This window comes from Homo sapiens, chromosome 12 (assembly GCF_000001405.40).
Source record: "Homo sapiens chromosome 12, GRCh38.p14 Primary Assembly".
Lineage (NCBI taxonomy): Eukaryota > Metazoa > Chordata > Mammalia > Primates > Hominidae > Homo > Homo sapiens.
This window is the reverse complement of record NC_000012.12, coordinates 41,642,122-41,659,012: the sequence shown is the minus strand read 5'-3', so window position 1 is coordinate 41,659,012 and position 16,891 is coordinate 41,642,122. Positions and strand designations below refer to the sequence as shown.

The following is a 16,891-nucleotide window of genomic DNA, read 5'->3' as shown; positions in this document are numbered from 1 at the left end:
GGACTTAACATTTATTTAGAAAGAATGTATATCAAGTCATGGCTTCCTATCTGACTTAGAGTAAAAATCAAGGTCCTTACAGTAGCATTCAGGCCCTATCCAATTTTTACCATGACCTCCCTGCCCTTTTATCCTAAGTATTTTATTTTCTTAGGAGTGATTATAAATGGTATTATGTGTTTAAGTTTCTGCATGTTTATTGTTAGTATGTAGAAATATAATTTATTGTTGTGTGTCGATCTTAAAATCTCCTACTCAAATGCTAACCAGGCCAGACCCTCCTTAGCTTCTGAGATCAGACAAGGTCTGGCATGCTTAGGGTGATATGGCCATCAACACTGCTCTTATCTCCTTTTACTCTCCACTTAGTTTACTCTGCTCCTGACATACCTGCCTCTGGGTTAATCTTAGGACACTGTGCACATTTCTGCCTCAGAGCTTTTGCACTTACTGTTTGCTTTGCATGTGGTGTTTTCAAGATATCTGTATGGCTTGCTTTCTCATCTTCCTTAGGTCTTTTCAGGAAGGATACCATCCTGGAATGGCAAACAATCTATTTAAAATCTGCCTACCCTTGGAATTCTCCAACCTTTTTTTGTGCTTTAGTTTTCTCTTAGTATGTATCGCCATCTGTCATATTATACATTTTACTTTTAACTTTGTAGTCTGTCTTCCCAAATTAGAACATCATCACTGCAAGGATATTTATCTCTCTCTTTTTTCCTCCACTAATCTGTTATCAGTAACTAAGACAGTGCCTGATACATAGTAGGCAAACAATAAATATTTGTGGCATAAATGAATGAATGAATGAAATTATTTTCTCCTGTTGCAAACTCTGAAGATGGCAAATGTTTATGTATGTGCTAAAAATGGAATGTGTACAACATAACCTCAGAAATTCACAACCTGGACTACCTACAATATAAAGGTAATATGCAAGGAGTTACCAATGGGAATCAGATCACACATGTAGCAAACCAAAGAGTGCAAAATATAAATGCTTAACTACTTACAATTAAAATGAACAGCAGTAGGAAAGGACTTAATTTTTTTTCTATAATTGAATCTATTCATTTTAATAAAATACCTACAATGAAATCTGGAAAGGATATTACACAGCCCATTAGTATGTAATAATCGATGCATAAAATGTATTGAACGATAGAGTAGGGAACATTGTGGAGATTGTATTTGTGGTGTGTGTATTTAAGGGGTGGTCAATAACTGATTATGAATGTCCACTGAATGTCACTCACTCCCAGTTATTTGCTATTTACACAGAGTTATTTTAATATTCACAGTTTAATTAGGGAAGTTCAAGACTTTAATGTGAAAAATGACTAAAGTTCTTGGAAATATAACATAATGCCTAAAGTATAAGGTTTTATTAAATAAAGACTTTTCATATATATACACACATATATATTCCTAAAAGTGTTTAATGAAGTTAGGGCAATGTGCTAAAGGATGGCAGTGGCATATGAGCAGCCTGCTTAGAAGTAACCATTGGGAAAGTCTTGCTTGAACATTTTTCTTGGGTTTTATTTGGGTTCCAAGCTGACTGGAAACTGTGCACTTGGGTTGCATGGAAAATCAGACTAGGTAGCACAAGTGTCTTCTGCATAGGACATGAGACTAGGTTTTTGCAGCCCACCAGCCCAGAATCTACTTCTGACCAGCACTGTCCTTATATTCAGAGACCAATTTTCAGAGACCAGATGGATTTTTCAATTGTTAAGGATTTGGAAAGAAAAATATGCCCTTGGAACTTTTGAAGTATGAGCTATTTGTTAGCCAAAAAAGCAATGTGTATGTTTTAGAGAATTAAGGTACAAGGCAATGTGGGAGCAGCAGAACACCTGCGTTCTAGACTTTCCTCTGCAATAAACAAAAATGACACCAGTTTTCTGAGCACTTTTTCTTTTTCTTTTTTTTTTAAACAAAACAGGATGCAATGGCTATTCTGACTAATGCTGGGGATTTTGTGAGCTTGAAACAAGATAATGAATATGAAGGGTTATAAACCAATCGGTAGAAAAATTCAGAAGGATAATATATGTTATTTATAGTTGAAGATCCCATTGATCCAGCTACCTCTCAGAATGGACTTTTCCATTAAACCTAGACAGAGCCTGGTTGTCTTTACTCCATACACAATAATTTATGTGATAATTTAGGGAGAATGCTAGAGACTGTTTAGGATATGATTATAATATTCGACATCATCCTTTGAATTTAGGACAGATAGGATTTTCAAGAACAAATGAAATCTTAAGGTGTGTCTATTTATATTAACAAATTGATCATTTTATCTTTTGCTTCATTTTGTTTTGTTCCTAATTATGGTTAATTGCTGACCAATCAATATGATCTACTGTCATTCAGGTATGTTTAATTACCCAAAATTGTTTTATGCACAGACACTATCAATTAAAATCATTTTTACACTTAAAGAAAATTTAAAGTAAGATTATAATTGGGAAACACCTACCCAATGAGAAAAACTACAACCTCCAATATGTTACATAAAAATATTCAAGAGAAGAGTTGCTGAAATTTGGAACTTACATTATGTCACCGATGTTAGTGTAAAATTTAGATAATTAGTGGAAAGTTTCTCTGTAGGGAATTTGTGTCTAGCCATGGAGATATATATATATATATATATATATATATATATATATACATATATATATATGTGTGTATTTTCTGCAAAAAAAAGTGCTCAGAAAACTGGTGTCATTTTTGTTTATTGCAGAATATATATATATATATATATATATATATATATATATATTCTGAAGTCTTTAGAAGAGGGGCAAATAAAAATTATATTCCTAACAGCAAGAAAAATGATTTAAATTATTTTTCCCCATTTTCCCCATTTGTTCTTTAGTCTGGCATAACTTTTATCCCCTTCCTTCATTTTCTGCCTTTCTAGATCTATTTTTTTGTGCAGAAAGCTTTTTTCCTTTTCTAATGTACACATGTCAGACTTTTCTTAGTTTCTTTCTATTCTCCTTCGATCATTAGAACGACAGGTTCAAGAGCAGAGTCAAACTTACACAGAAACGTCAAGGACAGCAGAAGTGACTCCATTCCTTAGATAATGGCTCTTCTACAATTGGAAGTCTATAAATAGAAACAGATTTTTTAAAAGAGATGCTGAAAACCTGAAAATTTTGCATTAGATCCTCATAACTGTCCTCTTTACCTGCGCATGTTCTTTACCTGCAAACTGACCTTGCACATAATCTTAGTCTCAAACTGTTGTTCATTCATCTGGATAAATATCCATACTGTGCAAACGATGGCTGCCAACCTGCAGGAGCAACACCCCTTCTTTCAAGAATCATCTCTTGGCAGCAACAGACACTGGGGATTACTAGACGGGGGAGGGAGGGAGGGGAATAAGGGTTGAAAAACTGACTGTTGGGTACTGTGCTCACTAGGACCGATTATACCCCAAAACCCAGCATCATGCAACTTACTCATGTAACAAACATAAACATGTACCCCCTGAATTTAAAATAAAAGTTGACACTATTAAAAAAATTTTTAAAAACTTAAAAAATTTCTGAACAAATAAATTCAATGATTTTGAGAAAGTTGACAAAAACAAGAATCATCCTTGACCAACTATTTTTAAAGCTAGATGAAATTTAGTTGACCTTTCCTCCTAACCTTAAACAAAATGATGCCTTCTTTCCTTATATTAGAAAATTCTTTTAGAGCCTTTTTATGGCTGATGTTTTTGAACATAGGTCTATGTTAATGATGCATTGGTTGATTTTATATCCTGTGCTTATCTAAACACAGTGGAAGCCACAGAAGTAATTCCATGATGAGTGCCATAGGCTGGATAATGGCCCCCAAGGATAAGGAGGTCCTGATCCTGGGAACCTGTGAATGGCAAAAATGATTTTGCATATGTGGAAAGATAAAGGATTTTGAGATGGGGCAGTTATGTCGGGTTATCAGTATGGGCCCAAATATAATAACAGGAGTCCTTATGAGAAAGAGGCAGAGAGGGAATTTACACTGAAGATAAGAAGACAATGTGACCATAGAAGCAATGGCAATATCTCTCAAAACATCCTTTCCTAGCCGTGACCACTGCCAACTCTTATGTTGGCAGCTTCTAATTAGTGCTCTTGAGTCACTGTGATTATTTTTCCCTTGTGACCCTATGATCAGACCCTTCTCTGTTCAGTCTCTCCTGCCAACAGCTGCTAGATCACTCTTCAGAAGATGTTGCCTGCATCACACAAGTCCCTGCTGAAATCCACAGTGGCTCCCCACTGCCAAAGACTGGAGTGATGCAATCACAAGCCAAGAAATGCTGGCAGCCACCAAAAACTGGAAAAGGCAAGGAACAGATTCTCCCCTACAGTCTACAAAAGGAGTGCAGCCCTCCTGACACCTTCATTTTGGCCCAGTAAAATAGATTTTGAACTTCTAACCTCCAGAACTGTAAGAATAAATGTACAGTATGTTAAGACATCAGGTTTGTGGTTATCTATTGCAGTAGCCATATGAAACTAATTTGTAGAAAGTCCTATTAAATGGCAAACCAAGTATTTAGGAGATTGGATATTTATGAAATTGACTACATAGCTAGGGATGTTCTTTATCACTTGCACATATTTCTATTTCTTTTCACATTGACTCAGGTGCACTTATTTATTTGTCTCTAAGAGACAAAGGCAATAAATTGCTTTTCATATTTTGTAGAACCTAGTCTAAAAAATGTTCTTACATACAAAATACCTAGGCCCATTGCAAGAGGAGAAAGTGATATATTATATTACTAATCATCAGCATCATCTCCTTGAAGCCAGGCAGAGCCATGTGGCTTGCTTTTCTTAGTGGAACATAACAGGAAGTCTCGTGTCCCTTCTATGCAGAAGCTGTAGACACAGTGTGTGTTTTCCCTTCTCTCTTCCTTCTGCAGCAGCTATCAGCAGTGACCCTGAGTGAGGCTTTTAAGGAGGAGCAGAGACCAGCTGACCACCATGGACAGGTAGTGTATGTGGGCAACAGAAACAACAACAAACACTTTGGTGTTTTATGCATAGGAGATCTGGGGACTCTGTTACTATTGCACAATTTATACCATCTCAACTGATTTGCAGAAGTAGCCTTTCGTGTCCCCAAATCACTTCCCCAGTTGGTAATTCTAGAAACTTCTCAATTTTTTTTTTCAACTGAAAGATGTCCTATCAACTTTTCCTTCATAATATCTCTCAATACATCCTTTTCTAGTGACATGGTTTGGCTGTGTCCCCACCCAAATCTAATCCCGAATTGTAATCCGAATTGTAATCCCCACGTGTTGAGGGAGGGACCTGGTAGAAGGTGATTGGATCATGGGGACAGTTTCCCCCATGCTGTTCTCGTGATAGTGACTGAGTTCTTATGAGATCTGGTTGTTTGATAAGTGTCTGGCGCTTCCCCCTTTCTCTCTCTTTCTCTCCTGCTGCCACTGTAAGATACATCTTACTTCCCCTTCACCTTCTGCCATGATCATAAGTTTCCTGAGGCCTTCTCAGCCATGTGTAACTGTGAGTCAATTAAACCTCTTTTGTTTATAAATTATCCAATCTCAGGTATTATCTTTATAGCAGTGTGAAAACGGACTAATGCACCTGACCAGGTGTATTAGACTGCCGCCAATGTTCAGCAACTTCTCAGTAGTGCTCTTTAGCCACTACGATTATTCTTCCCTTGCAACCCTATGTTCAAACCCTTCTCTGTTCAGTCTCTCCTGCCAACAGCTGCCAGATCACTCTTCAGAAATGTTGCCCGCTTCACGTAAATCCCTGTCGAGATCCACAATGGCTCCCCACTGCCAGCAGAGTAAATACTCCATTCTCACCCTTTCATCGAGTAGTTGTAGCTTTCAGTTTCAATTTTATCATCCTCTGCACCATATCATTTCTTCTCTACATCAGCCAGGAAAGTATCTTCCCATCAATGAACTGTGTCACACGCCTTTAGTTTTTAGTTCTGTGTTTTGAATAATATTTGTTATCCTGTTGTGTTTAATCCTAATTATTGAACATCACCTAGTACTGTAATATTTTAAATTTCATTTGAAATATTAGGTAAAGGCTTTCTAGTTAAACAGTTGATCTTTCTTTTTCTTTCTTTCTTTCTTTTTTTTTTTTTTTTTTTTTGCCTGGGTAAAAAAAGAAAGACAGCTGGTCTGCAGATCAAACTCTTTCTGGACTTAGAGCCATTTATCAGCCTTATATGCGAATGGCCCTTTCATTTCATGTAATCACAGTGCATATAGATACGATTGATTAGAGCTGCCACAAATTATCTCTATGCTTAATTTATTCCTAATCTAGTTCTCTATTTATGCATCTAAATGACAAATACTAAACACAGAAGAAAAAAGTTTGTGTTCATTAAATTGAAATATGATTTGTTATATACCTTGTGAAGTTTAGTGGCCTTTAGCTAGAGTCTATTTTTGATTGAACAAAGGGCTTAATTATTATAACCAACACCCTTTTAGCATTATCTTCCCTTTGAAATATGGCAGTTAAAAATTTCAGTCCAAGCAATTACTTATTTGTTAAAAAAACAGGCTACCTTTGAGGCTTGCATTAAAAATGATAAAAATTAGCCATCTAAAACCATTTCAATTTTATGAAAAATAAAACTGAGTGCAATGTTTCAGCTTGAAAGCTCAGATGATCTTTAAGGGAAATTAGTGATGTTGCTAATAGTGGTTTCAATTTATAATACAGTAGACGGAGGCAATCAAAGAGGCAAAAACAAGATAAATCATCTTTAAAATGGAACAATTAAATAAAGATCAGTTGTGACAAAATTATAAGATAACATTCCCAGACTTGGAAAGGCAATGTCTTTCTTTTTGTTAATTAGAGACAATCTGTATTTTACAATATGTAACAATTTACAAGGCAAGGGTGTGTTTTCTGCTGACATAAAATGAATGCATTTCCAGACTTCTATTCAACAGGGAAAGTGGCTAGGGTGATAATTTCTCATTTCTCTAGGTACAACTTTTATAATCTCCAGGCTCTCCATCATTTTCTTTTTGAAATTAAACTGCATATATACACCATGTGCATCAAAGCTCAGGCTAGAGCAATATATATTTTTTCATTTGGCACAGATCTTAAAATACCTGTTTATTTACACATATAGCTGAGTGTAAATATGAAATAATAAAATGTCACAGAGTTCTCTCTGTGCAGTTATATTCCTCTTCATAATACTCATGCCCGTATTTTAAACCTTATGAAATGAATATTATATTTTGTGAATTTAACAGATGTTGAATGTGTTGCTGTTACCTCATTTACATATACAGACTAGAATGTTTTACTTTGTTATGCACTAGCTTGATCCCTTAATTTTGATAATCTCAAACTGTTTTTATGAGATTTACAAGAAAAAATAGTTATTTCATCAAGAAAGTCATTGACATAATATGCATCTATTCATACATAGAATAAAATTTGATTATATATATATATATATAAAACTGTATTCTCTGTCCCATTATAAAGAGTCAGAATGATAATGTTAGAGCTTTCTTGATTCATATTGCTTTAAAATTCATGCAAACGGGCATAAATACTGGTTTTGCACTTTTGTTTAGCATTTTCATGCATATTTATTCCCACATAAGTAAATATTTCTCACTTTCAAATTCCTTTTCTTCTTTCTGAGAAATTAACAGGCCAGGAAATCAAACTGTAAGCAAAATAAATTCCTAGTCTCTGCTGCACTTACTTTATTGGGGAATTAAGTGTTGCTTTTTAGTATTACCCTTCTCTTCCCGGGATATAGTAGCCATGAGGAAAACAATGAGGGCTACCCTTACAGCACCGGACTCCAGATGGTCTTCAGTGCATTCTTTGGGTAGCAGCTCCCCAGGAGCCCTCTCCCAACCCAGCCCCAGTGGTGTCCCTCCCTGGCTATTTCTCTTGTATGGTGTCTTGATGATATGTATTTTTGCCTCTTGCATTCCTGTTCCTCAGTCGGAGCCCCCAGGTGTTTCTGTTCTTCAGAGATCCCCAAATATTTTAGGTAGAGGGAAAATTTCTAAGAACAGGGTCCTCTTAACAGTCATTGCAACTAAAAGTATAAAAGGAAGCTGGACTAGAATGGGGGCACACACTAGCCACGAACACTACATTTTAGTGCTGTTGCTTCACTCACTGGTAAAACATGGCGCAGTGCATGTTTGAGTATGGGCAGAAGGTTGTCTGCCACAAAAAATGCCTTCTACTCCACATACATGAAACTCCCAAGAAAATTAGTAGTTTGTCCTCATCAAGACAGTGGAAAGACAGCATAGTGTAAGGGCCTGAGTGAAGCTTTTAGGAAGCAACTGATCACAGTTCCACAACTTGGGTGCTATGCAGCTTTGGCAAACTCACTAATGTCTTTCAACCACCTGGCATCTACACTGAAAGATAGTTTTTAGGATCAAATCTGTTATTTGTAAAGTGTTTGCTAGGGTATGTAGCACATTATAGGTATTCAATAAATTATATGTGTACATTTACACACATACACCCAAATATTTGTATATGATTTTATAAATCTAAAGACTGATATTCCCCAAACTATATTCTATTGAAAGCCATTTTCAACAATTTACCTGAGAAAAATTACTTCCACTATTGGGAAAATAGTATACTTCACTGGGGGATAAAACTGAGGTTGAAAGAGACTACTGACTAACTCAAAACCTATAATTAATGAATGGCAGAGATGAAATTTGTAGTCTAGAGCAGGGGTTGCAAATTACTATCTGCCAGCAAAATCCAGCCAGCTGTCTGTTTTATAAATAAAGTTTTATTGGAACACATGCCCATTCATTATTATTGTCTATGGCTGGCTCTGTGATACAATGGCAGACCCCAGTAGTTGCTACAGAGACAAAATGAACTGAAATCTTAAAATATTTGTGATCTGACTTTTAAAGAAAATGAATGCCTGCTGACACTTGGTCTAGAATAGACTGGAATAGGAATGAGGTATAGTGAACAGACATTGGAATAAGCCCTAATATCACCAATTTTCAGTGAGACCTCAAGTAATTCAACTGTTCTGGACTTCAGCTTCTCACGTATACAAACCCCAACCCTGTATTTCAACTTGATTAACCACTGTGGTACATATTTAGCTGCATATTTAAATGCTCAGTAAGCATCTGAGTATTATATCCTTAGGAGCAAAACTTTGCAATGAATTGGAGTGGTTATAGTAATTCGTTTTCAGTTTCTGCCTTACCATTCACTTCTACACATATTTTACTGCTGGCTTATATCTTGAAAGTTCTCTTGGGCACCAGTATTAGTTGGTGATGCTCCCAAATATTACTGTTCTTCATCCTAAGACTCTATTAAAATTGAGCTGCCAGCCTTCTTTATCTGTTTGTAGTTTTCTCTGGAGACTCTATATCAACAATGGCACAGTGTGATCAGAACGATGCATTATCACAAAGTCAAATCAATCTAAGGCAAATGAAGAGTGAAAGAGATTGATAGACTCATGACTTATACCACATGGTAACCTGGTGATTTGCAGTTTCCATTTAAACGGGAAGTGTCCTCGAGATTGGAAGACTCCATGCACCCTTGTGATAATTTTGCTGTGGAAAATATTTACTGTTCTGCCTTTGGCCTCTTTTCTGGACAAATGGGATTGCATGTTACATACCTGATTTCAGATTATTTAAAATTTTCTGAATTTAGGGCTACTTCCCCTTTCTTTGCAATTCATTATAAATAAATTTGCACAACATCGAGGGCAGGTGCAAATTTATTTATGTCATTTGTTTCTTTGAAATAAAATAAAACTGCTCCTCCTTCACAGAACTTTAGATAAAAGACACCTGTTTCTGATGACTTTTGCCTGGTTGCCAGGCAAAAGAAATTGCAAAAGAAAAATTGAGTTCTGGCATCATCACCAACAGTGTGACCTCAGCCAAATTACTGAGTTCCTCTCAATTTCCTTATATATAAGATGGAGATTTAAAAAATAAGCTAGTGACTTTCTCACATGCTTATTCTGAGAATTAAATGCAAAAATGCATGTAAAGTGCTTAGCACAAATGTCTAGCAAAGAATAAGCACCCAATATATCTCAGAACATGACATGCTTTCTCAATTCTTTAGGATTTGACATTGCTGCAGTGGCCAAAGTAATTTCTTTTTTCATGTAAAATTTACCTGGGGGAAGGGACTGAACAATGTATCTTTGGTTGATGTAGAAAGATTGAAGAGATAGGACATTATTTATTTTTTTAACCAACAAAATCCAGATTGAAATTACCCCTGTCATCTTTGCCATTACAGTGATAGATATTTGCCTTATGCATAAATACCTGAAAGAGTGAAGTGTAGAGTATCAGAAAATTTATTGTTGTACATAATTTATCAAGAATTTTCAAAATCCTTTTAAAAACCAGAGTTTCTTAATCTGGGGTTCCACCGACTGGCTTTCTGGGGATCCATAAAACCCCTGAAATTTTATATAGCATTCTCTGTTTACATTCATTTTCTAGAGAGAAGTTTCATAGCTTTAATGAGATTCTTGCTGTGGTCTTTGATCTGTAGATCAAAGGCAAAATTCTTAGCAGGATCCAGAGGCTCAAGAAACTTTAGAATTTAGTGAGTATATAACCATGGCTAAGAACTTCTCACTTTACAATAGTTTACTTCTTCTTTTTTTTTTCAGGTAAAGCTAATGAAAAAGCACTATGCAATGTGTAAAAGGTAACAAAACTGCTTAATAAGATAAATAATTACATATTTGTGGCACTGATGAGCCAGCTAAGTATGTTCAGGTGACACTTCTGTGGAGGGAAAACTAATTTATTATAATTTAATAGCACTTTACAATAGATGTGTAACAAACCAGGTAATAAAACATAAACAGTAGAAGCCTTTTAGCTGATGTTGAATTCTAAAGAAAAAAAAGTACTTTTTTTTTTTTTTTTGACACGGAGTCTCACTCTGTTGCCAGGCTCAAGTGCAGTGGCGCGATCTCGGCTCACTGCAACCTCCGCCTCCCAGGTTCAGGCGATTCTCCAGCCTCAGCCTCCTGAGTAGCTGGGACTACAGGCACATGCCACCATGCCCAGGTAATTTTTGTATTTTTAGTAGAGACAGGGTTTCACCACGTTGGCCGGGATGGTCTCGATCTGTTGACCTCATGATCGCCCACCTTGGCCTCCCAGAGTGCTGGGATTACAGGCGTGAGCCACCGCACCGGGCCTACTTGTACTATTTGATTATGTATTCTATTCAATTAACCATTGCCACTTTCACTGAGAGGCACCTGGAATTCTAAATCCTCAACATTTTGCTCATGTGTCCATTACTTTTAGCTGGGCTTACCACATGCATATAGCCTGGCGTGAAGGAGTTTCTTCTTTTCTGTCCTGAACGATGCTCCATGCTTATCATGGGTGATGGTGGGAGGGTGGAGGGCAAAGCAGGGCTGGAGGATTTCATCCAAAGAATTGACCTCCAGCTCCACCTCCACCCACCCCGTGCTCTGTAGCCCTGGAAAGATGTTTGGAGAGCAGCTGCCATCCTTTCCTTGTGTACCTACTGTCCTGACTATCTTCCCCAGACCAAACCCTCTATAATGGAAATATACAAAGTTATTTTCTTAAGCTGCAGTAACTCTCAAAAAAGCAATATAGTATGAGAGAGAACAAAGGCTGTCACTGAATCTAATCTACTCATACTCTTAACCAAAGAAGGGAAGGGTTTGTTTATGGCTTCGGTTTTCCAAAAAGAGACCATTCCAAATGTCCCCTCTCTGAGGCCCTCTTTCATGTCTCTCAGTTGAAAAACCTTTTACAAAACTCCTTGATGCTCCACAGGGAGAAATTCCTCCCTTTTGGTCCCTTGTGTCCTGCAAAGTTGAGTGTCAGATGTGAAGGCTTCAATCCTGTATGTGACAGTGAACCTGGGTGCTCCAATTCTAGTTCAATCTTCCCAGCAGAAAGCCATGCAGTTGATTGCCTCATTAGTTTTCCTAAAAAGTAAGCCATCTTGTCATGTTTCCATTTATTTTCTCATCATATGAAGGAAGGGTAGAATTCTTCCCTCTGACCTTGCCCCTAGCAAAACAATATCACTATTTTTTGTGTGAATAATCTGGGGGGATATTTTTTCCAGTTTCCTGTCACAAAAAGGTCTATTCTCTAAGATCTAGAAACGTTTGAAAAACAATGACTATTGTTGTCATAATTTACATGGGAACAAATGGAGCATTATAAATACTGGTTATTTACTTAACTAGTCCCAGAAGTCCAGAGACAGAACTTATTCTAAAACTACCTGACAATATTTTCTACTAAACCTGTATTTGGAGGCATAACAGAGATTCTTTATTTCACTAAGAATTATTTTAAAAATTCAGAAGTCTTGGAAGTAAATGCTTTGAAGTTTTAAAGTTTAATCTTTAGGAATTTAATAAAGAAACAAAATAATAATATACCAGGAAGAACAGTAGTTTTGGAATTAAACAGACTTGGAATTAGTTCTGTCTGAATAAAGGAGATGTTGAGACCTTGAAGGTTACTTAACCTCTGCAGTGGCTTGGTGACCCCCAGCTACCAAGCTGATGATATCTAGTCAGAGAATATTAAATGAAGTAACTGCTGAAAGTCTCGATCACACAACGTTTGTGCAATAAATGCCAATTGAGTCAATATATTTTTTATTTTTATCGGAAGTGTAGGATCCAGCCCTCCATTATTGCTGATGTGGCCATAAGGTTAAGTTGAGGTCAGTGATACATGGTAGAAGTGATGTGTGCCACTCCTGGGTCTTGCCATTAAAAGGATTGTGAGGGCACTCACCTGGTCCTATCTCCACATCATGCTGGCTGGGAGATAATATGACCTAGAGTAGCCAACTGGGGCACACAGTGGGGGGCCAGGGTGAGGGAGGCCTGAACCCTTGCCTGCCATGGACTGTTGTGTGACAGAGAAATGAACGGCCATCAGTTTAAGCTGCTGTCTTTCCCTTTCCCTTTCCTCCCTCTCTCCTTCCATCCCTCCCTTCCTTCCTTCCTTTCTTCCCTCTCCCTCCTCTCTTTCTTTCTTTCTTTTTTCTTTCTTTCTTTCTTTCTTTCCTTCTTTCTTTCTTCCTTTCTTTCTTCTTTCTTTCTCTTTTTCTTTTTTTCTTTCTTTCTCTTTCTTTCTTTCTCTCTCTCTCCCCCTTTCCCTCCCTCCCTTCCTTCCTTCCTCCCTTCCTCCCTCCCTCTTCTCTCTCTTTCTCTTTCTATCTTTCTTTCTTTTTCTCTCCCTCTCTCTTCCTTTCCCTCCCTCCCTCTCTCCCTCCCTTCCCTCCATTTTCTTTCTTTCTTTCTTTCTTTCTTTCTTTCTTTCTTTCTTTCTTTCTTTCCTCTTTTTCTTTCTCTTCCTTCCATTCTTTCTCTCTTTTCTTTATTCTATTATTTCTTTCACATCTGTAGCTTGAGCTGTACTCTAGTAAAAGTCTAAACACCAGATAGAAAGAAAATTATGGTGAGGGAAGGCTTAGTTTTACTTTCTTAATGAACTTACTTACTATGGAGCCATTAAAATACTTATTAAGAGTATGCAATAATATGAAGTAATGCTGATGATGTTATGTCAAATTTATAAAGCAAAATGAAAAATCATAAACATGATTACAATCATTGTTTTAAGTACCTGTATTAGTCAGGGTTTCTCAGAGAAACAAAATATATATATAAATCTTGAGATATAAATATAATGTTTATTATTTTTATATTTAAATTTATATATTTAAATGAGATATATATGTGTATATATGTAATATATATGTAAGATTTATTATTCATGTAATTATAGAGGCTGAGAAGTCCCATAATCTGCCATCTGCAAGCTGGAGACTCAAGAAAGCTGGTGGTTTAGTTTGAAGACCTTAGAGCTAGAGGGCTGATGGTATAGATTCCAGTTCAAGTTTGAAGGCCTGAGAAGCAGGAGTGTGCAGGACAGGAGAAGATTGCTGTCCCAGCTCAGGCAGTCAGACAGAGTGTGAATTCAACCTTCCTCCACATTTCTGTTGTATTCAGGCCCTCAGAGGCTTAGAGGATGCCCACTCACACTGGGGAGGCCCATCTGCTTTACTCAGGCCACAAGTTCTAATGCTGGTCCCCTTCAGAAACCGCCCTCAGATATGCACCCAGAAAGGATGTTGAATCAAATAACTCAGCATCCCATGGCCCAGTCAAGTTGACACATAAAATTAACCATCGCAGTGTCTAAATAAGAAAAAGCAACATTAGAAAGAAATACAATAAATATAACCATCTTTGTGTTCGAATAATGACATTATGCTACTTTTTTTTGCTCTATTTTCTGATTTTCATAAATAAATATATGTTATTTTTGTAATGGGAAAATTTTAAAGATTCTTCTGAGAAGATAGTCAATAATCCAGTAAGAATTTCTTTACAGAGATGTACATCCTAACATTGTTTTTAAAAAAGAGAAACTGGCACTTAACAGTAAGTGAGTGACTACATAAATTGTATAAAGCAGCATATTAGTTTGCTAGGCTGCTGTAACAAATACTACAGACTGAGTGGCTTAGGATTATAAATTTATTTTCTTCCAGTTCTGGAGGCTAGAAGTGCAAGATCAGGATGCAGGCAGGTCCGATTTCTGCTGATGCCTGTTTCCTTGGCTTGCAGATGGCAGCTTTCTTGCTGTCTCTCCACATGGTCTTTCCTCTATGCACACTCACCCCTGGTGTCTCTCATTGTGTGTCTAAATTTCCTCTTATAAGGATACCAATCAGATTTGGCTAGGGCTCATCCTGATGTCCTCATTGTATCTTATTCACCTCTTTGTGTGCCTTATCTCCAAACCCAGTCATATTCTGAAGTACTGGTAGGTTAGGGCATAAACATACACATTTTGAGAGGACACAATTTAGCTTAAAACGCATGGTACTAAAGATCATATTGGGAAGACTCTAGCATAGGGAAAGGGTGATGGTATCATATGAAGTGGGAAAAAGTTAAGTTAAAAATAATTTATATAGTACAATATTAAATTTATAGAAAATAATGTATATTGAAATAAGCTTCTGTTTAGGATAACATCTGTGACTTAGTCTCTGTCAATATTCAGACATTGAGGATTTACACTAATTATAAGACCTGTGGAGCTGAAATCAATTGGCAATGGATAGTGACACACGTATTGTCATTTCAAAGGGAGCAAATTTGCTATCCTAAAAAATGAAAAAGGTGTTATTATAAATTAGCATAAAATTTACATGCATCATAAGTATACTGAAAGGGAATTCATCAACTTATTAGTGTCAGCTATCTTTGATGGTGGGTCTAATGTATGATTTTTATTTTCTTTACATTTTTTCTATATTTTCCAAACTTTACAATGAGTTAACTTTATTATTATCATCAGAAAAATAACAAATGTTACTTTAAAAATAAATCATAATACTGAATGGTTTAGAAATGGCACATGCAAGGCATGACTGTGGCTGCCCTACAATACTTTTAAAAGATAAACAATTGGAGGAGCCAAGATGGCCGAATAGGAACAGCTCCGGTCTACAGCTCCCAGCCAGAGTGACGCAGAAGACGGGTGATTTCTGCATTTCCATCTGAGGTACCGGGTTCATCTCACTAGGGAGTGCCAGACAGTGGGCGCAGGTCAGTGGGTGCGTGCAGCGTGCGCGAGCCGAAGCAGGGCGAGGCATTGCCTCACTCAGGAAGCACAAGGGGTCAGGGAGTTCCCTTTCCTAATCAAAGAAAGGGGTGACGGAGGGCACCTGGAGAATCGGGTCATTTCCACCGGAATACTGCGCTTTTCTGACTGGCTTAAAAAACGGCGCACCACGGGATTATATCCCGCACCTGGCTTGGAGGGTCCTACCCCATGGAGTCTCGCTGACTGCTAGCACAGCAGTCTGAGATCAAACTGCAAGGTGGCAGTGAGGCTGCGGGGGAGGGGCGCCCACCATTGCCCAGGCTTGCTTAGGTAAACAAAACAGCCAGGAAGCTTGAACTGGGTGGAGCCCACCACAGCTCAAGGAGGCCTGCCTGCCTCTGTAGGCTCCACCTCTGGGGGCAGGGCACAGGCAAACAAAAAGACAGCAGTAACCTCTGCAGACTTAAATGTCCCTGTCTGACAGCTTTGAAGAGAGCAGTGATTCTCCCAGTATGCAGCTGGAGATCTGAGAACGGGCAGACTGCCTCCTCAAGTGGGTCCCTGACCCCTGACCCCCAAGCAGCCTAACTGGGAGGCACCCTCCAGCAGGGGCACACTGACACCTCACACTGCAGGGTACTCCAACAGACCTGCAGCTGAGGGTCCTGTCTGTTAGAAGGAAAACTAACAAACAGAAAGGACATCCACACCAAAAACCCATCTGTACATCACCAACATCAAAGACCAAAAGTAGATAAAACCACAAAGATGGGGAAAAAACATAACAGAAAAACTGGAAACTCTAAAAATCAGAGCGCCTCTCCTCCTCCAAAGGAACACAGCTCCTCACCACCAACGGAACAAAGCTGGACGGAGAATGACTTTGGCAAGCTGAGAGAAGGCTTCAGACGATCAAATTACTCTGAGCTACAGGAGGACATTCAAACCAAAGGCAAAGAAGTTGAAAACTTTGAAAAAAATTTAGAAGAATGTAAAAATAGAATAACCAATACAGAGAAGTGCTTAAAGGAGCTGATGGAGCTGAAAACCAAGGCTCGAGAACTACGTGAAGAATGCAGAAGCCTCAGGAGCTGATGCGATCAACTGGAAGAAAGGGTATCAGCAATGGAAGATGAAATGAATGAAATGAAGCGAGAAGGAAAGTTTAGAGAAAAAAGAATA

General features: G+C 37.7%; 1 pseudogene, besides 1 other annotated feature; it reads right to left on the bottom strand.

The window, feature by feature from the left end:
- RNA5SP360 (RNA, 5S ribosomal pseudogene 360) lies at positions 220-337 on the bottom strand (annotated as a pseudogene).
- Positions 15,771-16,325: an enhancer, noted in NCBI's record as "H3K27ac-H3K4me1 hESC enhancer chr12:42036490-42037044 (GRCh37/hg19 assembly coordinates)". NCBI's record gives its function as "activates a minimal SCP1, AML or CMV promoter by ChIP-STARR-seq in naive H9 embryonic stem cells {active_cell/tissue: H9 hESC(naive)}" and the evidence as "EXISTENCE:reporter gene assay evidence [ECO:0000049][PMID:30033119]".